General features: G+C 42.4%; 1 protein-coding gene and 1 pseudogene across 12 annotated transcripts in view, besides 1 other annotated feature; both read left to right on the plus strand.

Moving 5' to 3' along the window:
- PBX1 (PBX homeobox 1) overlaps positions 1-26,587 on the plus strand; it is a 326,864-nt gene that overhangs the window by 54,871 nt on the left and 245,406 nt on the right. For 4 of the 12 annotated variants that reach the window (XM_011509590.3, XM_011509592.3, XM_047421783.1 and 1 more), the window contains one exon: positions 11,875-12,042. The exons of the other annotated variants lie outside the window; for them this stretch is intronic. In XM_011509590.3, the coding sequence (XP_011507892.1) occupies positions 11,875-12,042 (168 nt within the window). The remainder of the gene's footprint in view (positions 1-11,874; positions 12,043-26,587) is intronic. 12 annotated transcript variants of the gene reach the window in all.
- Positions 20,850-22,183: an enhancer, noted in NCBI's record as "VISTA enhancer hs1202". NCBI's record gives its function as "enhancer in: hindbrain (rhombencephalon)[6/6] | forebrain[4/6]" and the evidence as "EXISTENCE:transgenic organism evidence [ECO:0001131][PMID:17130149]".
- RNU6-171P (RNA, U6 small nuclear 171, pseudogene) lies at positions 25,511-25,617 on the plus strand (annotated as a pseudogene).

Genomic DNA, 26,587 nt, shown 5'->3' on the forward strand with positions numbered 1-26,587 from the left:
AAGCAGAAGCACAAAGCAGAAGAAACCAAGCACAGTTCCTTGCCCAGAATCACTCGGGAGGCAAAGTACAATTCCGTTCTTCCTTATGTTGGGACCTTCGGTGATTGGGTCCTCCTTGTGTGTGGAAGTACATGAAAGAAGGATAGACAAAATTAGAGCATGTTTTCGAGACCATTTGGTTCAGCCTCTCTGATTTTACAAATGAGGAGAGTGATGCAAAGTGTGGTTAAGTGACTATACCGAGGACACAGACCTACTTTATGACAGAGGCTTGGGAGCCAGATTTTAGGATGCCGGTAGTTCTAAAGTATCTAGCTGTGCTGCCGTCTGAATTTCTGGTTCACTCCATCAGGTCAGCCCATAGACACCTCCTTTTTCTTAGGTCGGACCTATCTTATTCGTTTCCTCTTTTGTTCTCTGCAGCTGCCACCCCCACTCCTACCTCCCCTATTCTCTATGTTGACATGTGACTTGGGGCACTTGCAACGTCCCTACCTAAAATTGATGTTTGCCACCTGGCTGCTGACTGGTGCGCTATGCTGCTTCACTCTGCCTGTTTCAACCCTGTGAAATATGGAAGCAGATCATAAAAAAATGGACTCCCACACATTTTGCAGATCTAAATTGGGCCTTAATATAATGTACTTGGTTATGACAAACAGGTTTTCTAGGGCATGACCGGCAGCTTAGGCTGGCTTCCCTGGTCATGTCAGTTGAATTCTTTTTTTCTTTTTTTGAGTTGGGAGTCTCACTCTGCCGCCCAGGCTATAGTGCAGTGGCATGATCTTGGCTTACCACAGCCTCCACCTCCTGGGTTCAAGCGATTCTCTTGCCTCAGCCTCCTGAGTAGCTGGGACTACAGGAGCCTGTCACCACGCCTGGCTAATTTTTTGTGTTTTTAATAGAGTCAGGGTTTCACCATGTTGACCAGGCTGGTCTTGAACTCCTGACCTCAGGTGATCTGCCCACTTCGGCCTCCCAAAGTGCTGAGATTACAGGTGTGATTCACTGTGCCTGGCCTCAGTTGAACTCTTTAAGATTATTCAACTCTTTCCTTAATTCTTAGGTAGTCAGGATTCTTCAAAACTTTATGTTTCTCTGGGAGTCAAAGGAAGTTTATGGACACAATTTCTCCATATAGTAGCTTATTTCTGAAAATAAGAAAAATGAGTAAGTTGGACCTCATTTCTTTTTCTAACAATGTGTGGGTTACCCTGGTCTTGTTGACCAGTTTATTTCCATTTCTACTTGTTGAAATAACCTTTCAAATAACCACAAGGAATTTTTAAATAACTAAGTCACTATCTTTTTCTCTAGGTTCAATTTTCTAGCACTGATAGATATAAAAGAAAGTAATAATAACATTCTTTTTTTTAGAATAATTTTTTTTTTCTTTTCAGGCAAGTAACTATTTGTTCAGGTGTAATATTCCTGATTTTATACTGTGGTGATTCCCTATAGATGACAACTGCTCAAACTCTAGCCTTCTAAATGTTAGGTACCAAATTGACCTTTTTGTAATCAATTTGTTTTTATCTAGCTTTATTAACAGCCAGCCGCCGCACCGTTGATTGGATCGACGAGGTGGTGATGTGAAACAATCGCTAAACGTGGCCAAAGTAACCAGACTGACTTTTGTGTGGTTTTTGTTTTCTGGACAAGGATTCTGTTAGTTAGAACAGCATTTAATTGTGCCCACCACAACTAAATAAAACCCACGAGACAGTTACAAATGAACTGTCACAAGAGGGGAGGAGTGAAGTAGAAGGAGCCAGAGGGAGAGCCTACAGGCCTTCTGTGAATGACCACAAACCCTCTCGACTTTGGGATTTGGCCTCCCTGGGTTGGATATGCCTGGAAGGGTCGCAGAGGTTAAGAGCCAGGAGTCTGGGGAGGCCAGGGTATTGTGTTTGGTTACAGAGGTGCCTTCCAGGTGATCACCATGGAAATGCCTTTCACTGGGGTCTCCAGAGATGAAAAATTCAGGATATGTCTATGTGAAATATGGTCTTGTAAACCATGGGATAGGGATGGGAAAAGTTGGCTTAGTCTCTCTCTCTCTCTCCACCTCTGGAGTGGCAGCTGTGTGACTCCCTGTAAACTTTCAAATGGTGGTTCTTCATGCCCGGGGATGATTCCGTGTGTCAACAAGTCTGGGCAGTCTTTGATGTAGCCACCAGCGTCTAGGCCAGGAGGCACACTGCTGCTGCCTGGTGCCCTCATGATCATTCTCTGTGCCTTCTGCTGCCCTCTCAGCCCCTGGGTCTCCCTCCCCAGGTCCTCCTTACTCCTGCTCCTGTGACGAGGGGTGGGAAGCTCCGTTTACTGATCTATATATTATTGTGTTGGTGGGAAACACTGGCTAGGCCAAATAATAATGTCTTGCAATTACTTAGCATTATCTTGGGTGTATCTCCCTTGAGAAATATATTCCTGGAAATATACCAGTAAAATGAGTTTCGGTTAGCTGAATCATATTTTATAGCCATTGAAGTTATTAATGTAGAAATTTTTCTCAAGGACAAAAACCTGACTGAGGCCATCTCAACCTCACTGAAATTTTCAGTGAAGGTTAAGAGGCATATTCTCTGATAAATACAAGGTAAGAACACTTCATGTGACAGAAAAAAAAATCCAAAATTGCATGTTCCCAATGCTAACTTCAGAGGGAGCTGCATTTTCTGAGATTATTCCGTCCTTTTACATGCAGTGATAATTACTAATATGTATTGATACTCATCATGTGCTAGGCATAGTGCTAAACCCATTGACATAGATCATTTCACATAATCCTCATAATAATCCTTTGAGAAATGGAATATGTTTATTCTGATTTACAGATTTTGAGACTGAGGTTCAAATAAGTTAAGTAATTTGCTCAAGGCCATACAGCTGTTAAATGGTAGAACTGGGACTTGAACCCACCTGGAGTCCAGATCCAGAGGTCATATTTTATTACCTCTTGACTATCTTTTTCCTGTTATAAAATAGTATAACTTCATCTTAAATATTATTTTAAAAACTCCTCAAATTTATATGCTAAAGCTCATTGGCCATGTGCTGGTGCCTTTAAATTTTTATCCCCCCTAGAGATTATAACTAAGACTAATGTCTGTGGCTACTCAACCCAGTTGGTTAGAGCTAATGGGACCAAGGTGACAAGGTTCAGCCCCCATTTGAGTCTGTTAGCTGGGCTGAGTTTCATGGCCACAGAATTAACCTTTCACCTTGGCCAGCTGCCTCACAAATGCATGTTGTTGATCAGAGAGAATAAGGAGGAGATTGTGGATAAAATGGCACAGACCGCTAGATCAGCCACCCAAGACTATGGATGGTGGTTCAGTAATGTTTTCTTTCCAATATGGGATCAGACATTATTGCCATGTATAGTAGTTTAAAACAGCATTTCTTGGTGTGCTCCTTGGAGCTGGTTATTTGTTTTAGTGTTTGTATGTGAGGAAGCGTTGTATTGCCAAGTAAGATTGGGAGTTAAAAGAGCTTTCTGAACTACAGGGCTTCCCCGAGGTTTAATATGTTAATGTGTGTTGTAAATCTCTCAGAGGGGTGTGTGTGGTGGAGTGGTTAGCATTTTCAGAATTTATTTGACCTGAGGACCTTTTCCCTGGACCAGGATTCTTAAAAACACACTTTAGAAAATTGTGTCTTAAAAATGTACTTGCTTTGTTCTGTTATTTTAAATCCCTATAGTAGTCTTTCCACATTGGGGATCAGTTACAGTTAAAAAAGACCAGTTTCCATATTCCACTAACTTCTACATGTGTGGATCTCCTTTCAGCAGGCTCTATCTTTACCTCCAAAGTGCTTCCGCATCTCTTGTCCCATTTTCTTTTTTTTGCCCTATATTTTAAACCAGGATTCTGTTGCTGGCCATAACACATACCCCAAATCAGTAACATCTCAGGGATTAGAACCCAGATCTCTGGCCCATTTTTCTTTCCAGCGGCCTATGCTGCCTCCCAGTGGACAGAGCATTTGCAAAGAGCAGAGATCATAATGCTTAATTCTTTTCTAGAAAGCGTTTGCCTGGTGTCTGTGAGCATTTCTCTGGCCTGCCATTGCTCTTGAATTATAAGGTGGCATTGTCGTAACTCTGTAAGCAAGACTGAACAACTCTCCTCCTCCCCGCCTCCCCACCACCAAAATTAAGTGCATTATTAGCAAACACTTAAAAGTTCGGAGAGGAGATTCTAAGTTGACTTACCCCAGGGAGAATAATCACGGCGGGGGGGGGGGGGCACTCAAGATGATCAGCACTAGCCCAGCCTTCTCCCAGGCTGGGGTAAGGGTTTCCTGGGGAGTGCTGAAGTGCACTTGAACCTTGTCAATGACTGTCTCCTACTCCGTTGCTCACTTGCTCTTGTCTCGGTTTAATTTTGCACAGCTCCAGTGGAAATTTCAGTGATCTGATAATTTGGAAAATAAATGAAAGAGTGGAAGATAAATTTTTATTTTCCTTTTCTCAAAAAAATTACACCCAAGTGAATAATCTTTATGCTCTATTTCTCAGTAATATTTAGATGCTACTCCTGAAGAATAGCAGAGCTGCCAAAATCAGTAGGGTTTTTTTACCAAGCTCTGCTTCAGTAATCCTATCACTTGCCTGAAGAATTCATTATAACGAAATAAACACATTAGGAACTCCTTGGTCTTTTACATCTCTAATATTTATGAAGTACTGAGGCTCTGAGCCAGCCAATAAGGAAGCTGGCAATTCACAGCAATCAGTTTAATAGGCATTGGTTGATTTGGATTGCAAAATATAGGTGCCCTGATTAGCCCTCTATATGGACTTGCGTTGTTCTTCAGCCATTCAAAAGCTACCTAATTATGAATATTGAAGTATAATGTTCTGGCTTTTAACATAAGGCACTTACCTTTTAATTGGCCATCAGCTTTGTTTTTAGCGCTTATGTACCTCCACTGGGATTCAAATGAAATGGGGAGATAATCAACCAGTAAGCAGAGAAAAGGGTAAAATGATCAGGGATAATTAAGTGGCAGCAGGGAAATTTAGGGTTAGACAACAGGGAGAGAAACAAAAGAAGGAAACTCACAGGAAACCAGCTCTCTGCCACACTGCCAGGCACACCCCTTTTGAAACCACCTTTGATTCCCTCTTTAGCTTACAGGTGGGACACATATAGACTTTGTGGCTGACATCTATCAGCTTGAGCACAAACTTGATTCCTCCCTGCGCCTAAACTCAGAGCCAGGCAGAGGGTGGGGCATTGGATCTTCACTGCACAAACTTGGCAGAGGAAAAAAGACCATTAAGTGAAGGCTAATTGGAATCTGCCCCAAACTGCACTTTGTTGGAGCTATTTACAATATCTTTCAAGCAGCTGACTTACTTACTGGGTTATTCAGTGAAGGGGCAGTGAGTGAGGGGATCGGTGGGGAGTGCTCAAGGAGAGGAAAATGACCTATACAAGGCAGTGGGTGCTTTCTTACACCTTTGAAAAATTAACTCCTACACCATCTTAGTCCTTGGTACAAAGCCTAAGTACTCGCCTTGACCACAGGGAGCAGTTCACCTCCCTTGGGTCATGTGTCCCTTTATTTTCTGAGGAAATTTATGGTCTAGTTCCAGAAAATTAGCCTAGATACACACATTTTTTTTTTCCCCATGGAATTTCAGGAAGCTGAGGAACTCCTGAAAGACCATCCATGGATCTTCTAGTTTTTTCAGGTTAAAAAAAATCCTGTTTTTAGATCCAGAAGTAGGGCTGGAAGCAATTTTTATACATAATTGTGGAGAGTGAAGTGGAGAAAGCCTAGGAAAAATAATGAGTTTGCCTTTTAAATATTTCTTTGGAGGCCAGGCGCCGTGGCCCATGCCTGTAATCCCAGCACTTTGGGAGGCCGAGGTGGGAGGATCACTTGAGCCTAGGAGTTTGAGACCAGCCTAAGCATTTGAGACCAGCCTGGTCAACATAGTGAGACCCTGTTTCTACAAAAAATTAAAGAATTAGCCAGGCGTGGTAGCACACATCTGTAGTCCTAGCTACTCAGGAGGCTGAGGTGGGAGGATCACTTGAGCCCAGGGAGGTCAAGGCTGCAGTGAGCCATGATTGGACCTGGCAGCAGAGTGAGATCCTATCAAAAAACCAGCAAAACCAGCAAATCTTTATAGAAAAACATGAACTTCTTTTAAAAAATTTGTATTAAGGTACTTTAAAAACACCATTTGTATTTGAAGATCCAAAATAGCACATCTGTTTTACTTATTCAAGCAGATTTCATAAGGCATTATTTTGAGGCTATATTTTGTTAGTGTAATTCTAGCTAATTCTAATTTTTATATGCATTGAAACATGATAAAATTATGCATCTTTAAAAATAGCCCTTTTTGCAGTTTAGGCTTAAGGAAGTTCATATGCGTGCATGTGCATTTGTGAGTATGTGGGTGTGTGTGTGCAATCTTTTTTCTTTTTTGTTCCACCTCACCACCCTGTGACATGAAATAGGGACTTGTCTATAACCATATTCTCGTGGCCTAAAATCAGGTCTGGTGCTGAGTAGGTTGCTGAATACATGATTAATTTTGTAACTGTTGACTTCAGGTTTTGAGAGGAAAGTCAAAGAAATGTTTTCCCCTATATTCTTTTCTTTTCTTTTTTTTTTTGTGATGGAGTCTTGCTCTGTCACCCAGGCTGGAGTGCAGTGGTGCGATCTCGCCTCACTGCAACCTCTGCCTCCCGGGCTTAAGCGATTTTCCTGCTTCAGCCTCCCGAGTAGCTGGGATTACAGGCACCTGCTGCCACGCCAAGCTAATTTTTATATTTTGATTAGAAACAGGGTTTCACTGTGTTGGCCAGGCTGGTCTTGAACTCCTGACCTCAGGTGATCCACCCACCTCAGCCTCCCAAAGTGCTGGGGTTACAGGCGTGAGCCACTGCGCCCGGCATTAAAAAAAAATTAATTAATTTTTTGAGATGGAGTCTTGCTCTGTTGCCAAGCTGGAGTGCAGTGGCACAGTCTTGGCTCACTGCAACCTCCGCCTCCCGGATTCAAGCGATTCTCCTGCCTCAGCCTCTGGAGTAGCTGGGACTACAGGCGCGTGACACCATGCCCAGCTAATTTTTGTATTTTTAGTAGAGACGGGGTTTCGCTATGTTGGCCTGGATGGTCTCGATCTCTTGACCTTGTGATCCGCCTGCCTCAGCCTCCCAAAGTGCTGGAATTACAGGCATGAGCCACCGCGCCCTTCCTCCCCTATTTTCTTAACAGTCTTCCTTCTCTTTCTGTCTGTCTGTATTTGTATTTTGCCTTCCTTTTCTTTTATCCCCAACGGGGGCGAGAATTAGGTTCCCAGAAACTATTATGAACATTTTCCTTGGCTGATAGCACTATGAGAAAGCATCGCAAAGGACTGCCTGGGGGGTGCTATTTAGTACAGGGGGATGGGATACGGACTGGTTTACTGTAGGTTCTCCTTCAGGGGCTGATTTAGCTTGGTGGCTCTGCAGTCTTAGGCTGGCCTAGTTGCCCATTTCATAAGCCACACAAGGCTACTGGACTGAAATAATCATGAAACAAGAGGCCATCCCTCTTGTTGCACAGTCTATCTTTTTGGCCATAATTAAGAATCATTCACGTCCAGGGTGCACATTTAGCCAATGGAGTTTCTTAACTCCTTTGAGAAAAGGATCAATGGACATACCTGAACAGAAAGGTTTCTGTGGTTCCATAATGTAAGAGTTCCAAGTGCACAGAGGATGATTCCTGAGTCTGCCCATCGAATAGGCATTTGGGTAGATTTTTTTTTTCTACAATTTGACTTCCATCTTCCTTAAGAATGAGAAGTTAGGACCAGAAGAAAAGCTCCCATCTTTCACACTAAATACGTTCTATAAAACCAAGCAACTTTGATTCTTCCTCCCTGTAAATGAACCCTGGTTGCATAGCTTTTGATGTGTCAAGTCAGGTGTCAGACAAGCTAGAGGGTATAGGAAATACTTCCATTTAGGCACCATCTAAGTTTACCCAGCCTCTCTTCTGCATTGACATTGGCTGTAATCCTTGTAAATGCTGAGTATACTCTTCTTTCCGTGTGGGCCCAGGAGGCAAGGCTAGGCTGGAAGTGATCACTAGGTAGGAGAAGGCGTCTTGTTGGAAGGAGCTGGTGTAAAACAGCGGGTTGCCAGGCCTCTGTTCCCAGCGTTGTCTCTTGTGAAGCTGTTCCAAGGAAGCCACATTTCTCTCTGGGCCGCACTGTTGTGAGTGCCTAGGATGCTTCCGGTGGATCTGTGTGAAATGTCAAGTCCACAGAGGTTAGCCTAGAATCTCTGTGCTGAAAGACTAGCAGGATTTTTGGACTCCAAAGTTCTGGATTGATCTTTTTCTATCGTAATGACTAGATGAGTGAGGTTCTCCTGATTGTTTCTGAGGCTGCTTGTTCCCTATGCCCTCAGCCTGTGACCAAGGTATAGCTCACTCGGACTGAGTGCTTCCTTGTTCAGGATGAATTAAGCACTTGATGTGCACATGCTGTTAACTCATCTCCCCCAACTCCTTTGAATTCTCTACCCATCATGTACTTGGCCACTTTCCTGAGCCAAGCACTTCATTATCTTCTTGTCCTGTGAGTCCTAATAGATATATTTAGAAACACTTCTATGAAATATGGAATCCAGGCTTAACCAGCTGTTTGAAATCACAACCCACAACCACTTTGCTGGTGTGTGCTCACACACACACACACACTGACACATGCTTGCTATACATACATACACACAGTTTCCATCTTTTTTTTTTTTTTTTTTTTGAGACAGAGTCTTGCTCTTTCGCCCAGGCTGGAGTGCACTTGGCTCACTGCAACCTCTGCCTCCCAGGTTCAAGCAATTCTCCTGCCTCAGCCTCCCAAGTAGCTGGGACTACAGGCACGTGCCACTACACCCGGCTAATTTTTGTATTTTTAGTAGAGACTGAGTTTTGCCGTGTTGGCCAGGCTGATCTTGAACTCCTGACCTCGTGATCCACCTGCCTCGGCCTCCCAAAGTGCTAGGATTACAGGCATGAGCCAACACGCCTGGCCAGTTGCCATCTTTTTTATGTGCTTTCCTTCCTTCTCTCTTCTCTAGATGTAGCATGTCTATAATCTCTGGAGGTAAGCCCCGCCTCGTTACACACAAGAGGATCATGACTAATGCGGTGTATATAGATAGATAGAGATATCTACCAGCATGTTAATAAAGGGCCTGATAGGGAATCGAAGAACGTCACCCCCAGGTAATTGCCCACAGTCTTCTGTAGCCACTGCTGGAGAGGGCGTGGTGTGGGAATGGGGGAGATGGGCACACCCGTGTGCACCATGTGTTAGGTGGCAGGAAAGAAGGAGATTTCTGAATTTTATTTTTTTCTTGTCTAGGAAATTTTTAAAGCTTCTTCTGCTTAGAGCCTTGCCAGGGTCTAATTCCCACACAGGTGGGAGTGGGTGCATTAGGTTTCACCTTTTTACGCCCAAGCAGCCATCTCACTGCCAAAGTCGTGCTTACTGATGCACTCCTTTGACTGTGTTTCTCTGCCTTTTCCTCGTGCCTTGCATCTCCTCTCTGTGCTTGCCTTTGTCTCTCTGTGTCTCTGTCTATGCCTTTGTGGCTAGCATCTTGGTGCTTGGATATTCCCCACTTCTCTGTGCTTCTTGGTTCCTGCAGAGCCTGCCTTGTGCCTTTCATTACCACGTTAACAAACTCGAGTCGTGCCTAACGACGTCGCCTCATACGTTATGCTAATGATCAAGAGACATGTTAATGATATTTTAGAAGCCTAATTAGTGGAATATATAACTATATGCAATTTGGTAATGGACTGTGACAACAAGTTGTGAAAAGGGGGCTTGACAAATCCAGTTGCATGTGGCCTCAGACAAACAGGAGCTGAGAATGGATGAGTGGAAATCAGACAGGGAGATAGAAGGAGGAAGTGTGTATTGGGGGTGTGAATGCCTGTGTGTACACTTAACGTGAGGGTCAATCTTTCTTATAGGTAGCATTGCTGTCTTGTCATCATTCCACTGTCCTAAAACCACAGGGCTAACTGTATCTGAAGAATTATTTACTGATGTTTTTTAAGCAATTGCTACTGTTGCCATTGATCATACTGGTATATCTTTGTTAGAAATGTTATTTTGATTATGTTATTCTTCACAACATCCTTACTTGCAATTTGTAATGGGAGAGGTACACATAGAAGATAGGTTCTTGTGCCAAAAAGAAGTTTTATTGTGTTATAAACCAACAATCAAGACCATGTAAGCTCAGAAATAATCTGTATTGTGTCTATCAACATTTTGATAGTATTGGTAGGAGTAAAACAAGGAGTGGTATGTGTAAAATCATTCAGCTGTTTGAATGTCATTTTCTCTCAATGAAAGAATTGGTTAGAGGCATGCATTCCTTCAGCTGGTATCTTTCTTCCTCTAACATGGTGATTCTCAATTTGTGGGCCACGGACCCTGAGGGAGCCTTGAAGTTGTTAAAAAGGTTTAGTAAATTCATGCACATACCAAGCATTGTCTGTAAACAGAATAATGTCATGGACACACATGCAGATAAATATACCTACTAAAATTCTTTGAATGTATGAAATGCTATTGTGGTTAATGAAATGCACATTCACTTAAACAAGCATTTTTTCAGTTCCTATAGGTTTTTTTTATTCATGTGTATCATTCCTCCATCTGTAGAAGCTAAAAATACAATAACTCTCTTATAGTGGTACTTGCAATGTTTTGACATTAAGAGAGAGACTATACATTCACAGAGGTTGGGAGCTTCTGTCTAGCCTGTTGTCCAAAACTGCTTATAAAATTTAGCAACTAATTTTCACTTTTGACAACTATTTTAATTCTAGAAAATAGGTTTATAAAGATTTTCTTAAAGTGTTATCTATCCTTCCAATGACTTATTATAAATTTTAGAATGTATTTCTATAGGGTGGAAAAATCTCCTTTAGTCAGAATTGAACAGTTTTCATGAAGAACATGTTACACCATGTAGAAACATGGGTACTGCAGGGCATAGGTGGCACTAGCTTATGGGAGCCTGAATTCCAGAAACTTGATTTTACTTTTTGTTTAGGATTAAAATGCCAAAAAGAGGGAGGCTTGCAGTATCACACTTCACCACCAGGTAAAGCTTTTAGAAACATATATTCAGTGTGAAAATGCCCCAAGTTTGCAGCTTCTTGACGGATAAAGACAGTTACAGAGACAAAGAAAGTTAGTGTTTTATGAATTAGTCCTCTACTCTTGAAGTAGTATAGCTTATCGGCAATGAGGTACATTTGTATTTTTTTCTCGGCTGTTCTTCCTGAGGAAATACACCATGTTACCATTGAGGAAGTTCTTCTTCTCTCTTTCCCCGTACATTTTTATTGTACGCAGAAAGACAGAAGAAGGAAGCCCTGAAGGAAGATTGTGTATGAACCCAGGATTCTGTTATTACGTCTGATGTTTGTTTCTAGTTAAAAATGAGAAGTAATTTTTGGGAGGGAGACAGAAATGGGAAAAGTTTATAAGCGAGCCAGTGGAAAAAGCACATTCATTATCAGTGTCTTTCTCACTGAGTCGTTTGAAATTGGAAAATTAGCAGCTTCTTTGAAGCTCATAAGATCTTTCATCTTTGTGTATGTGAGTGTGTGTGTGTTAATACTAAGTGGAGATTCTTTCTCTTGCCACTTATTTGGTTTTTCTGCTAATAATGAAATTATAATGAGATCCCTGATGGGATTTAAAAAAAAAAAAAAAGAAAAAAAACACCTTACATGAATTATCCCATTCCCCCACCCTCCTTCTGCCTTTCTGTAAAATCTATTCTGCATAATAGGTCTTTGTTTCTGGATTTGTGACAGAATTGAAGGAGGCCAGGAGTCGGAACTGCCCCTCATTGTTCTTTTTGGTGACTAGGATACAAAGTTCTGTTCGGCACAGAGTACTCTCCTCTGCTTCTACCTCCGGGAACCCCGTTACCCCCCAGCCCACACACCACCACCCCAGTTTTGGGTGGGGAGAAGGCAAAGGTGAGTGTTCGATATCTTTGCAGGCTGAATGGCCAGTTGACTTGAGATGCATATACCATGCCTTCCCCCTTTTATCTTTAAGGATTCATGACATGGGCTGCTGTTGAGGGAACCACACATCTATCTTGATGGCAGAAATACGGTATTTGGAAATCCTGGGAAAACCTCTCTCAGGATAACATTTTCAGTAGTAGGTTTTCCTCCCTGTTACCTCTGGTTCCTATTCCATTGCCCTTTATCAGTACAGGCTTTTGAAAATGCCATGGATTAAAGAGGTCCCACTGCCCAGGGCTGAGCATTTCTTTGCCCGGCCTGGTCTCTGCTAGTGGGTGGGTAAGTGGAGCCTTTGGAAGAAGGAATCGGTGTATGGACTGTTCAAGACAGACACATACTTATCTAATTTAGGCATTTCTAGCTGTAGGAAAGGCAATGATGTGATCTATTCCAATGAAGAGTTTACACTTTGGAAACTCAGTTTCAGAAAATTCTTCCATAATCCAACCTAAATCTTTTCTGCTTTACTATTTTGTCTTAAGCCAGAGATAGGCAACTGCTGTTTTCCCGTCTTAAAACTCTAGAAAACTGGAGTGTAGAGAATGGGCAAGATGAGAATGCCTCGTCTATGTATGTGGCTTAGTCAAAAGCTATTTCCTGAATCTCTCGTGTTTAGATTTTCTCATCAACGTTAATGACCACTTTCAGGGCCTCACTCCCTGCTCCCCATCATGCCTGCAGGTTCCCCCTCTCTTTCTTCTCACCATTTAACAGGTATAATAAAGGTGGGGAATCTTTACAGTTGGTGATTTTATATCATAGATCAAAGATCAAAGCAGAGGAATACACAGCAACCATAAAATTAACTGCTTTTTCAATTTTACAATGCTTTCAGTGATAGAGAATCTTATAAATTTAATATTAATTAAACACTTAGCTTTTAACCTCCTCCTGCATCTCCTTTTGGCTGGTGGCTGGAAAAAATTAATTGGGCATCTTAAATCTTGTATTACTAATGCCTTGACAGGAGGGGTTTCAGAAGCACTTAGAACTTCAGCAAAATGTACTTGGAGCATTTGTCCTTCCACTCACCTAATTGAAAATGCCCCCTTTTTTCCTTAAGGAAAAATGAACCATTTGCAAATTTTTTTTTAAAGGAAGCATAAGTTACAGTCCCCTTTCATAGCCAAAGCTTTAACTCAGTCCCTTGGCACTTTAACACTTCACAAAATGGAAGCCATTGAACTTCCATTATTATAAATGCTCTATTGATTTTTGAGTGTGTTGGTACCGATGTGTGGCCGGCAATTGCTTGGCCTAATCATTGTGTCACCTGAAGCCTATGCATGTTCAATCCAGCAAGAGGTGCCTCCTGTTTTGGTGAGCTCACTTTGGCATGGTAGAGTCAGAGGTGGTGGCATTTGAGAATGGACCCGCAGCATCGTGAACAGGAAAGCTAGAATATCAGTGAAAGGAAATAATATTTCTCTTGAAGGAAGCCTCAAGAGATGGGAAGCCAATGTGATGGAGGAGATGTTTTGGGGAAGCTAGACTAGGCTGTTCACATTTTCTTAGCTCTGGAAGGAATAGACGATGGGCTTTTGTTGGGGGACAAGCATTTCTCTCTTTAAAAGCCAGGCAGGCATTCATGGCTGTGCTTCAGAAGTGGCTCAGTAGAAATAATAATACCAATACATTGCATCTCTTTTGTATTTTTTTTCTCCAGTGGGCTTGGAGAACTTTATCCAGATAATCTCATTTTTCTCACACATCACTGTGTTAGAGAAGAAGGCCCCTGAATTTACCCAAGCTGGTTCTCTGCTATGACCGTATATTTGAAACTAGCAACTGGAAATTATAGTGAATAGAGCAAGAACCCCAAGAATGGATCTTTCTGTACCTGTTTTAGATTCAGGTAACTGAGAAAAGTATGTTAATTGCTTTTTGGGGACATCTGTTCCTAGCACAGTGCTCAGTGAAATCCCTTGGGTTTATGAGTACCTGACTTGGAGAAGAATTATAAGAAACAAAATTTGGGGGAGAATTTAAAATGTCATTATTTACTTTACAAAAAAGTTTTAAAAATTTTACTCTGAAAGGCTTCACTGCAGGTTTGCTTTAAATTGCTAAGTTTTCTAGTCCTGTAGTCATCTAATGAGACTATAAATCAGTTTACAACTGATACTTTAGAAGCATATTTTTTGAGTAAGGTAAGGGATATAGAACATGCAGCATGACAGTCCCCTATCTCCTGCTCTGGGTTGCAATGGTCTCTTTCTCCGAGTCCGAACAGTCACCTTGACAATCCTTGATGGCAGTAGGGAGCATTTAATCCAACTGTGAAATAATAAATTAGCTGTGGAGTCACCACCAGAACAGGGAATCCTGGCTTTATGCACCTGGCTAGTTTGCACTCCCTGTGAAACCATCACGGTTCCTTCTCATTGCAGCTGAGCTTTCTGAATCTTTTAAGAACTGAATTGATGGGATGTGGAATTTGATAGCCGATAAATTAAGGATATTGGTAAATGTAGCAACTCTATTAGAAGATAGCATTTCCAAGATCAGTAGCAACATTTGCTTGCGTTGTTTGTGAGTGTATCTGTGGAGGTCCTTTATATCTGTATCTCTCTCTTTCTCTCTCTATCTAGATATATATGATATGTGGGGTGCTATAAAATTTTTAGTGCCTTAGTTTGGGTTGACCGCCTTATTACTCACGAGTGAGCTATACAGGTCTTCCTTAACAAGTGGCAATAAAGGCTTTACAGCACCCCTTACACCGTCACATATTTTTGTTTAGGCCACATATTGTCTTTTTCTTTTTAAGTCTCCCTTTGCTCATGTCCCTCTCAAGTACCTTTGTTGCCATGGCAACAGTTCCATCGTTTCTTAGGGTAGAGCAGGATGACATCTCACGCAAGATTCTTGAAGTCAGTGCTTGTTTGGACTGACCTCAAACACTCAGCTGGGGCCAGTGCTGTGGCCCTTACCCTGGTCATCTGTGACACTGTTTTCTCTTTTTTGCTCGAGGCTCTGTTTATTAGACTGCCATGTCTGTCTCTACATTAATATTGGCCGTGTCTCCATGGACCTGTTCCAAGGAATGGAAAGAAGCTGATACTCATGATCTAAAATTGAAAAAAAAAATGTTAGTGTTAAGCATTTTGAGTTAAATATGGAGCTTTGTGAGTGGTTGGATGCATAGTAAATACTGTGGCAAGATGGAAAGAGTGAGGGCAGCTCATCCTCTGCATGTCAATGTTCTCTTTGGAATTCCCTCACGGGCTCAGTTTTGACAGGTTACCATGTGCATTTTTCAGTCCTCTCTGTGTGTCTTTAAGACCCAGCAGACCTACCTTCTCCCTGACTCATGGAATATTAGTCCTAAAAGGGAGTCACAGAACTGAGTCCAGTGCACTGATTACATTCTTAGGGAAACTGAGACCCAAAGGGGCATGTGTCTTGCTAAGATCACTCATCCTTTATTGGTGCAGATGGGATGAAAACCCACATCTCCCAGTCTTCAGTTGGGCTTCACCTTTGCTACAATTTGTTAGTTTTTTAAAACAGAAATTATTTGAAAGATTTTACTGTCAAGCTAATTTCCTCTCAAGCCACTGCAACATTTCTGTAAAAAGTGGCTGTAGCCATAGTGGAGACCTCATCTGGCAAATGTGGACAGGTGGTGAGGCTGTACCTCCAAATTTCTTAATTCTTTTTCCAACAAGAAGGTTGGCTTGCCAATTCTTTGATCAAAGGTAGGAGTTTCTGTAATCTGTTCTCTTAACCACATTTGGGATGCTTGTATATATGACTACATATATTTATATATTTTTTATGGGCAATATTTTGACTGTTTCTCTTTTGAAAGACAGTGCGAATGAGTATGCCAAAAATCACAGATGATATGAGAAATGCTATCAATAAAAGCATTTTTTCAGAAAGGTGAATAAAGTAACCCCAAGATAACGTAAAATTTTTCCTAATGTTATTTTGCAAAGTCATTAGAAAACCTAATGCTTGTGACCAATGGGGTGATGCTCGTGGGACAGTACGTGGCTGACGTTGTGGTTTTCACTGGGCAAAATAATTCAGATCTACGAGTCTTTTGGCATGGGCATAGACAGAAAGATTGCATAATTTGTTCTTGGATGACGTGAAAAAGAACCCTGAATATATTTTTCGTTTCTATGCTTCCAAAGTCTGAGTGGGATGTTTTACATGGATGGGTAAGATGGGATTTTAGGAGACAGATAATGCTCTGTTTTAGATCTTCACTTGGTCTTTCCAACTTGTAGGGGTGGTGTGGTGATCACCTATTTGACTAGTGGTTATGCTGTTTTCATATTTAAGCTGCCTGTAGCAATTCGTGATTTGCTATCAGTACATCTGTCAATCTGTAATATTACACTCAATATCATTCTTCTTTTACCCAAATATTTGGTAAAAGAGAAAGCTAACATGCACTAGGTTCCTACCAAGCAGATAAGATGAGATAATCTATGTAAAGTACATAGTATAACCCTGAAAGGGATTATTAGTCCCACTTGACAGATGTGGAAAATGAGCCCTAGAGAGATTAAATAAAATAGAACCTTCTATGACTAAGTGACTAAATTCAGGTCTCTGATTTCAAAGCCCATACTCTTTCCTCTGAGTTGCATTGCCCCTACCAGGTACTTGGCAATTACTGTCTTGTGCAATCTTTGGATCTTTGCCTTGATAATGTGCTTAATCATTCCCTTCACAGTTCATAGTAAAGTAAGAATGACGAGCATTTAGCATCATCACACACAAGCCTAAGAGTCAGCAAGACTCACCTTACTGTAAAGCTAGCTTCATCAGCTCCAGCAGCTTTCCAGGTAGCAAGATGTCACTGGCAGAGTGGATAATGAACTAGCACATGGGCTGCATCAGGAAGCCCTGGGGACCTCGCAGAAGTTGAGAGTGTGGAGTGGGAGAATGGGAGGAGTAATATATTAACCTTACTGATACACAAAGTTGCTCCTTCTTTTTCTTGCAGGTTAGTGCACATAATTGTTATCTCACTATTACTGTGTTGTTTTTGTTTTTGTTTGGCTTTGCAGTTTAAGATAGCTTTTAAAAGCCACCATCTGGTTTAGGTGCTAGATGAAAGTTCTGGTTAAAACCAAACGAATAGTTTCATAACCTAGTGAGAGAGTTTTTTTTTTCTTTTTTTTTTTTCTACAGTATTCAAAGTGCTTTCTGAACAAACTTAAATTTGTTTGGATGTAAGCAACACAGAGAAGTCAGAAAACAAGGCTCTCAGATTCAAGTAATAAAAGCATGGGAGCTGGAGGAGAGGGACAAAAAAATTAAGTAAAAGAGGAAAATAAAAACTCTCACTCTGCATTGACCCTTTTACTGAGGTGTAAGGTACAAAGCATAAATAATCCACATGGAGAGTGACAAGTCCACTTACTTAATTCATTATTTATTTTAGTTATTGGAGAAGCTCATTTCTGCTTAGCCTCCGGGCATATTTACAAGTGTGATAGAAAAAAGACAGTCCCTGCCATTGCTATTTACAATCTACAATAGATAATATATAAACAAGACATATTATTTTAGTAGACAGATGCATCCAGATACACTTTAAACAAACAAGAGTACAGCAATTAATGTGCATATGAAATCCGTAAGATAAATCAGCTATTGTAGCACGTGAAGGAAATTAATACAAATTAAGGAATTGGAACTGATTTGGGCCATATTCGACTATTTTCATATTAAGAAACATTATTTTAGAAGATCTGTTTGGCTGCAGCGGAGTCAGGAACTGGGCAAGCAGTGTTGTGACTTGCTTGTTCCACAGGCAGAGCCTGGGCAGCACTCAATAACACCCCTCACCTTCATAGGCCATCAGCCGTAGAGAGGCAAATTAGAGCACTGGCATAAGCCACAAATCACAGGCTGTTGTTAGATTTAGTCTGACCCTTAGCATCATTTTATCGGAGTCCTCTTGAATTTAATGTGATTCCCTTCACACCACCCCCTCTCTGGACAAATACTAATATTGTTATTGTTATCGCCATGATTACTTGTGGCTGACCTAATACCCTTCTGCCCTGAAACCACAGGACCTTGCCGCAGCCTAGGCATTAATAGCCCTCACAGCACCTCATTGACATGGCTGCACTGGAGTTGAAGTTACAAAGCAGGAAGTATCATTTAGTGCCCCTGCTACCCTCGCCCCTTTCATCTTTATTATGCAGTTTCTTCTTATGGTGCTGCCCATTTTCCCAAGGAATTAAAGTCGCAGATATTTTGATTTCAGGGGAGGGTGAGGGGGAAGTTGGGCTCTGAGTGTAGAGAAGCAAGAGCTGGCACACCTGTCCTTAGGTTCACAGCACAGCCTTTCTCCTGCTGGACACAGGAGTAGGATGAAAAGCCAACATCAATAACCTTGAGTATATAGTTTCATAATCCATGAATAATTTCAGGAATTACAGATGTACTCTTAGTGTAGAACATGCAGAATGCCCACCGTGGATTCAACACTGTGCAAACTATGTGTTTGGGGTTTTTTCTCAATTGGTGGCTTTATATCAACCTCCCCAGCACACTTATATCTAGGCTTTTATAATGATTAATACACTAGGAAGAATCAGTGGTACGGACACATTGGACATGTGGTATTTATGGTCTAGAGGATATTATTACCAGGAACTCATTGGTGCTCTCCACAAGTTTGATGTTGGTTGAGCAGTAAACACGGAGGCACAAAAGGATATAATTAAGGTGACTCTGGAAGTCATCTAAAAAGTGGGAAATGGATTTTATGGTGCCTAGATCCTAGGGTTCATGTAGAGTTAAGACCTGGAAGAGACTTTGGAAATCCCCAGTCTTGTTTTATAGATAAGAAAACCTAGAGTGGATATCAGTTTGCTTAAGGTCATACAATTAGTCAATGGCATAGCTAAGACTCAAAACTAGTTTGCCTGTTAAGTCCACCATAACATCCTCAATGTAGAATGTCCTTGAATGGATGATGTTACTGACTTCTTTTCTTCACAACCATCTCTCCTCTCTTTCTTTTCTTTTTTTTTTTTTGAGATGGACTTTTGCTCTGTTGCCCAAGCTGGAGTGCAGTGGCACAATCTTGGCTCACTTCAGTCTCTGCCTCCTGGGTTCAAGCAATTCTCCTGCCTCAGCCTCCCGAGTAGCTGGGATTACAGGTGTGCGTCACCATGCCCGGCTAATTTTCTTATTTTTAGTAGAGATGGGGTTTCACCATGTTGGCCAGGCTGGTCTCGAACTCCTGACCTCAGGTGTTCCACCCACCTTGGCCTTCCAAAGTGCTAGGATTACAGGCGTGAGCCACAGCACGCAGCCCCTCTCTCTCTTTAGACTATTAATAGTTGGGTCATTTTCTATTACTAGTATTTTCACTGCTAGGTCCATTTTGTTATTATTTGGGGTCTCAGTATGGACTGTTTCTTGGATCTGGTAGAATTTGAATGGTGTACGTTATCATGAATACTGAATTACCTGAGCCTTTCCCTGCAGATTTCCTGTACTATACAAGGAAAAGTGTAATGTAGTGGTTAAGAGCATGGACTCTAGACTGTGATTGCCAGGATTTGAATCCCAGCTCCTTCAATTACATGCTAGTTGTTTTGGACACATTATTTAACCTCTCTTTGCTTCAGTTTCCTAATCTATGTAATAGGAAGGATAATAGTAGTATCTACTTCATAGGTATCTGCCTCGGAGTTAATACACAGAAAGCAATTAAAACAGTGCCTGGTGCATGTTAAGCCTCACAGTATATTTGTTATTATTGTTATTATTATTTTCTTCACTCTCCAGCAGTGGCCTTGAGCTACCCAAAAGGTTATGTAATTTAATCTTCCATTCAATTGAGGAAGGAGCTCTGTTGTAACAGTCCCGGGTGGCGTTATCCAGCTCTGCTGTGGCACAGCCGTGGATGAACAGTTTCTTCCTTGTGAGCCAGCTCCCCACCACCTGTAATGCTCAGTTTTTAGTGCCAGCTTTGTCTTCTGGACCTGCACAGTGTAAGGCTTTTCCTTCTTCTTGTTTGGAGGTAGCTCCAGCATTGCTCACTGAGTATTCCCTGTCCTGAAGCCTGTAATTGTGGGGTTTCTGTGAGGTTTGGCCAGAGGCTTCTTGAGGGATGTGGCCAGGTGAGTTTCGAAGGTCGAGATTAGTGCCGTTGACCTTCTGCAGTGCCCTGCCTGGCCCCACACCAGCTGACACTTATCTAGGACTAAAAGGATGGTTATAATAAAACACCGATACAGGTAAGAGCTATGGAAAACAAAACTTATCATTTTCCTGGTCCTTATCTCCTAAAGCATTTATTATTTCATGAACACTTTGAAAAGAGAGTGCTTTTTGAGCTTGGGGTACCGTTGAAACTGAGTGGACCTGACTACTATGGCAGTGCTTAAAATCAGTTTCTTCTTTAGTCCCTCCCACAATGCTCTTTGGGTTTCGTTTCTGGAATATGAATTGCCAAAATTACTTGAACTGTCTGATGGAGGATTGTAAGCTCAAAAAGGAAGTGTTGGCTCCCCATTAATACACCAACACCATCTGATAGACACAAACTTTCTTTTTACCCAGCATAATTGGGCAAGGTCAGGACTCCCTCGGACATGGTTTGGGGTCTTTGTTGTAGGGAAATAAGTTCTTTGGGAGAAATGATTACTCTCAGTTATTTCCTAGCCTATCAGGACCTGGAAAGACCCCAAATTTTGAGGGTGGGGCCTTTTGGAGAGTGCCAGGTTTCACCAACTATGTGCACGTGGTTCTATGTAGACCTGTCCATTGATCTTGGAGCCTATTCTTAGCATCATAGGTGACAAGGGGCCATGTTGCCTGCCTGTAGAGATGGCAATTGTGGGCAGGAGTTAACTCTAAGGCTGCGAATATTCTGTACCTTCTTTCCTTATTCTTATAAGAGGCAAGTGATACATCTTAGAGAAGGTAGAAGTGTGTGTGGGGGAAGGGGTTTATTGTGAGGGTGGGGGTGGGGAGAAAAGGAGGAACAACTGTAAAAAATGTTAATTTATTAATCACTGAATATACAGCAGTTCATCTGAAATGCTGTTGCTATGCCAACACCCTGGGAGTTTATTTTCTTAATCCAAGAGAGGAGCTCTCAGTCCCCTGCTCCCCTGCTGTGTCATTTGAATTTGCTGCTGCCACCGCTGCCACCATGGTATCTGTTTTAAAAAGTGGGGGGCGAGGGGGGAGGGAGGGGAACCAGGCTAAACCACCAAAGCAGTCAAATGCAAAGCAGTAAGAGGCCTTTCTCAGTGCGACTTAGTAAAAATGACACAAATTAATATACTCTACTTAAACCAGACCAAGATTAATGGTTCTCTTTCAGTGCAGCTTAGCCCAACTGTCACTCGACAGGCGTTTGTCGGACAAAATCAACACTAATCAACATTTATTCGTCTCTTGCCCTTGGGTCTGAGGCGCGCGCGGGCTGCGCCATTCTCCCGCTCGTCTCGCCACGCTTTTCACCCTCCATCCAGCCTCGCCATATATCACCCTTCCTCCTGTGCCTCTCCTCGGACGGATCCACACACTCAGCTATCAGGGTACATTAGAGGCATGATAGATTTTCTGTTTTAATTTACGTCTATTATATTGCAACATAACAGATTTTGATTCCGTAGAGACCGGTGTCTCCTATAGCCAGACTCCTTGGGAGGATTTCTGCATTAACTTATTAAGGTTCGTTAGGATGCAGCTTCAAATAGATTCCCTTCTCTCTGGCTTGTTCTCTCTCTGTGTGGCAAGCTCAGTAAAGATGTCTTGGTGTACCTTATTCACAAGCACAGCTCATTTTCTTTAGACTTGGCTTCCTGTGCTGGATCACATGAGGCTGGCTGGGTTCCTCCTTTACTTTCTGATTGGACTTTGATCAGCCAACAATGGGCGTTGCAAGCTCCCCAGTCCCTGCCTGGTCTGGGTAAATGGGCCTTGACAAATCTGGTGGCCTCCAGTCAGTGGGCACCCCCTCCCAGGCTTTAGTTCTAGCCCCCAGCATCTTTCTCTCTCTCTCTTTTTTTTTTCTCCTTTTGATCTCAGTTACAGTTAGATTTTATTTATATTGCACCTCAGGTCTACAGAGATGGAAGGGGGGAGGAACACAGTTTCTTGGGTTAACCAAGGAGAAGGATGTTGAAAGGATGACTGAAAGAGTGAGTCTGAACAAGGCTATTTTCATTTCTACATGACCATCTTGAAGGCATCTTATTTCAGCTTGGAACAAGGTGCATGAGCCCAGCTTGTTTGTTGCATGTGGGAAGTGTATATTTTTAGTTGCCTTGTAGAGTGGCTTTCCACCTCATTTATGAAATTGGCTTTTTATTTTTATCCTTTTCTCTTTTTCCCTTTCACCAGAGTTGGAACGTGAAGCACAGTTTCTACTTGCTGACGTAGTATTTCCTCTTGATTTTTAGTGGGGTTGGGGTGTTTTATGAGTACTAAGGTCACATTGAACTTTGGACACCTAGTCACCTTGTTGCTGGCTGCAGAGAAGAGCTTGAGAAGGAGACAGAAATCTTCTCGTCTTCTCATCATGGCTTTGACAAATGCCCAGGGAGACTGCAACTTTCTTCTCAACTTGGCTGTAACACTGGAGCCCTTGGCCACTTAGAAGGCCTGAGTTTTTTTATATTTTCCACCAAGCTGCTGATTCTAAACTGTGGTGGGGTTTCTTTCATGGCCAGAATGGGGAGAAACCGTGGGCTGAGTTGGGGATGTGTGGTTTGTGTGTGTTTATGTGTGATCACTGAAGTGTAGGATATGGTAGGAGGATGGCTTAGGACTTCCATTTTGGTTTCTTATTACACAGCAATAAAGTAAATGGGGCTTAGTATAACTTTGCACTTATAGAAATGTAGCTCAATTTAAGAAACAAAACTCCGCCAACAGGAGTGCTCAGTATCTTCAGCTTGGGAAACTGACCTCGTTAATTTTAATGAGGGGAAAAATTCTCCAGCTGGGGCTGAGAAGAAAATGAAATACCAATGAGGTTATCACTTTGGATGATCTCACTGAATTCAGACTATACTTGGAACGATGCTTGGAGAATTTTCTAAAATCCTATGGAGAGATTTAGAAGAAAATGCATATGCCCTTGATAGTATTGACAGACTGCTTTCCCTGATAGGCAGAGCCGAACTCTATATAGTGCCTCCTAAAGGGGTCATTTGAAAAGTTAACATATTAAAAAGTTGGACCAAAGTAAAACTGAGAGAAAAAATGGATTAACGTGATTCTTATGTGGGTCTAGCGTGAAAGCAGCGGGGCTGGTCGGACGGTGGCTGAGGCCGTTGACTATAAGCCAGGGGCTCCTGAGTTCAAGTGCCTACTGGGATGCTAACTTCCTGTGGGATTTTGGGCATCTGTTTTTTATCGACCAAAGGCAGGAGGTAGGGTGAGGGAGTCCTGTTATTCAGTAGGCAGCTATTTGATTTGCTCAATAAGTTGATGACTTTGGCCCTGCTGCTGAGGAGTGACAGATTGTGACCAATGAGGTTAAGATGACTGTAGGACAAGTTTGCCCTCAGTGAGGAGAGGCCTGCCAAGTTCCACTGACGTTTGGTTGGGGACCACAGAAAGAAACATCACCATTCAAGGTATTTGGCCCTTATTTTGTCCTAGTTCACTAAATGGCAGATCCTGGGGAGGAGATTATTTCACCAGTGGATTCTTCAGAGGTATGGGGGCAGACAGAACAGGCTTTCTTCTCCAAAAGTTCAAGCTTGCTGACTCAAGCTTCTTACTCATCTCTCTGGCATGTCACTGCACTCAGGAGAAGATTTGTGCAACTATCAGGTGCAAACTCAAGTATCACCAAAGGGATACTTTCTGATTAAATAGAGCCATCGTGCTCTGGGGACCATCTCAATATCAGTGGAATATTGAGGGGGTCTATTAATGTTTATACGTTCCTTCGAAATTCAGCCTTTTTCTTTGAAAGCTGTAAGGCAGCAGTTAAGGGCACTCGTACTGCTGCTATGGCTGTGTGTGTATGTGATGGGAAAGGCTGGTTGCCAAGCAGCGGAGAATGGACATAATCATGCTGCCTAGCAACAGCGGCAGCGTGGTCACTTGCGCAGATTTCTGCGCCTCTTCCTGTTTGGTCTGCTGGAAAATACAGATGGCTTCTATGGGTCGCTCTCTGCCCTAGCCATAGTGAGAGGTAGGAAAACATTATGAACCAGGGTGGAAAAATACACAAGTGCATGTTTTAAAGTGATTCGTTTCCAAACTGCCTAGGGCTGAGCAGGGATTCTTACATAGCATTCCTCAGTTTCCCCTTTGAAGATATTGTGCACTGGCACGTTGACTTGTAAGCAGGAAGAGGAATCTTTGAAAAGTGCTAGGCCCCTCTGGGTGCTGCCTCTACTGAGCCCGAGCCTTTACTCTGCATGTGTGAATATAAAGCCACCAGTTTTCTGATAAAGACACACACATACACTCACACACACTCACACCATGGGTGAAAACGACAAGTGGAGCAGAGCGTGACTACTGATTGTTCTTTGAGGCCGGAGGAACAAAGCAGTCAGGAGCGATAAAGGCAGGTGATCCCTGCTGGTTTGCCCTTTCTCCCAGCTCTGACCGTCACCGTCACACATGACATTCTTGAATGAGGTCACCTGCTCACTACAGATTCTAAAAGGGGCTTGCTTGGCAAAGACCTCCAGGGTCAGAGTGCCGGCCTTTACTGTTTTTGGCAGTTGTGTGCATGGAACATTGGAAGCGTTTGGAACGGAATGCTTAAGGAAGATATTATTTGGCAGCAAGAAAAAGGGAGTGTGCAGACTCCCCCTACCCCTCCTGGGATGAGTAGGTACTGCCTGCCCGTTTTTTCTCTACAGGAGTTGAATAGTAGCCAGAGTACAGGCTTGGCATCAGAAGGCCTTAGTTCAATCCTTATCTCTTCTACCTACCAGCAGTGTGGCTTTATGCAAGCTCTTGTTCATCTGAACCTTACCGCTCTTGTCTGTAAGGGATAGCAATATCGGTTTTACAGAGTGGGCTGAAAGGTTAAAAGAGGCGCTAGTTCTTTTTGGCATGCAGCAAGTATAAAGTAATTGTTGCTGTTCACCTCCTCTCCATGATTAAAGAGTAGGAAGTTGGGAAAAGAAGGTGAGCACTGCAGCTACCTTGTTGATTCCAAACTTCAGTGTCTTGGTTTTTGTCTTCCTTCTTAGCCTCCTAAATGAAGAGCCTTTATTTCCTTCTGTTTAGATTAGAAAAGATGAGAGATCTCTCTCCTTTTGATGCTGGGTGCCTGGATGGTATTAATTGATTTTAGTGATTTCTTAATCCATACAGAATCAGTTAGGATGGTTTGCTCCCATCTTATGGATGATGAGACAGTAGTACAGAGCAGTGGGATGATTTGTTTGGAACCCTGGAGACCATTAATTCCAAGATCCAAATCCTATGGCCTGTGCTCATTTTGGCAGCACATATGCTAAAGTTGCAATGATACAGAGAAGATTGGTGTGGCCCCTAGGCAAGGATGACATGCGAAGTGGTGAAGTGTTCCTTATTTATTTATTTATTAAAACAGGGTCTTGCTCTGTCACTCAGGCTGGAGTGCAGTGGCATGACCATGGCTCTCTGCAGCCTTGACTTCCTGGGCTTAAGCGATCCTCCCACCTCAGCCTCCCTGTTAGCTGGGACTATAGGCATGCACCACCATGCCCAGCAAATTTTTTCTATTTTTTGTAGAGATGAGGTCTTACTATGTTGCCTAGGCTAGTCTCAAATTCCTGGGCTCAAGTGATCCTCCTACCTTGCCTCTCAAAATGTTGGGATTACAGATATAAGGCACTGTACCCAGCTGTGTTCTATATTAAAAAAAAAAAGAAATCCTATGGCCTGATGGTATAGACGAAGCCCCTGCCAAAGCCAGAGGGGCTGGAGTAGGTAGAAAGCCGCCAAGGAGTCTGAGCGTTCTAGGTATTGACAAGACTTGAATTTTAGACTTCAAAATTGTGACATCAGTGAATGTTCCCCAAACAGATCGCAGCCTGGCTCCTGGAGGTCTGGATGTGCTAGGTGGGTCAGTAGGGTTGGAAGAGGGCCCTTGCATCTTTTTTGCTCTGTTTACATTTGTATGTCTGCTAGTATACAGAGTAGCTAAGGGATCCAAATGGGGGAAGGCCTTGGGTTCTAAACTGGCCTTTCATCCAAGTCCTGCTAAGAGCTCTTGTTCCTCAGTTTCCCCGGCTAGAATGATGAAAACATTGACCTATTTCTCAGAACAAGGTAGGTCAGGGGTTTGGAATTACTTATCTGGACTACTGCATAAGTGCTCCACTCAGCAGATTGCTCCTGGTGCAACACACATACTGGGAAACGATGTGATGACACTAGCACAAAGGACAGTTTATAGTTATTTTCTGTGGTTCCTCGTTTTTTGGTGTTTTTTTTTTGTGTTTTTTTTTTTTTTTTTAGACGAAATTTTGCTCTGTTGCCCAGGCTGGAGTGCAGTGGCACGATCTCAGCTCACTGCAACCTC

Source organism: Homo sapiens, chromosome 1 (assembly GCF_000001405.40).
Source record: "Homo sapiens chromosome 1, GRCh38.p14 Primary Assembly".
NCBI lineage: Eukaryota > Metazoa > Chordata > Mammalia > Primates > Hominidae > Homo > Homo sapiens.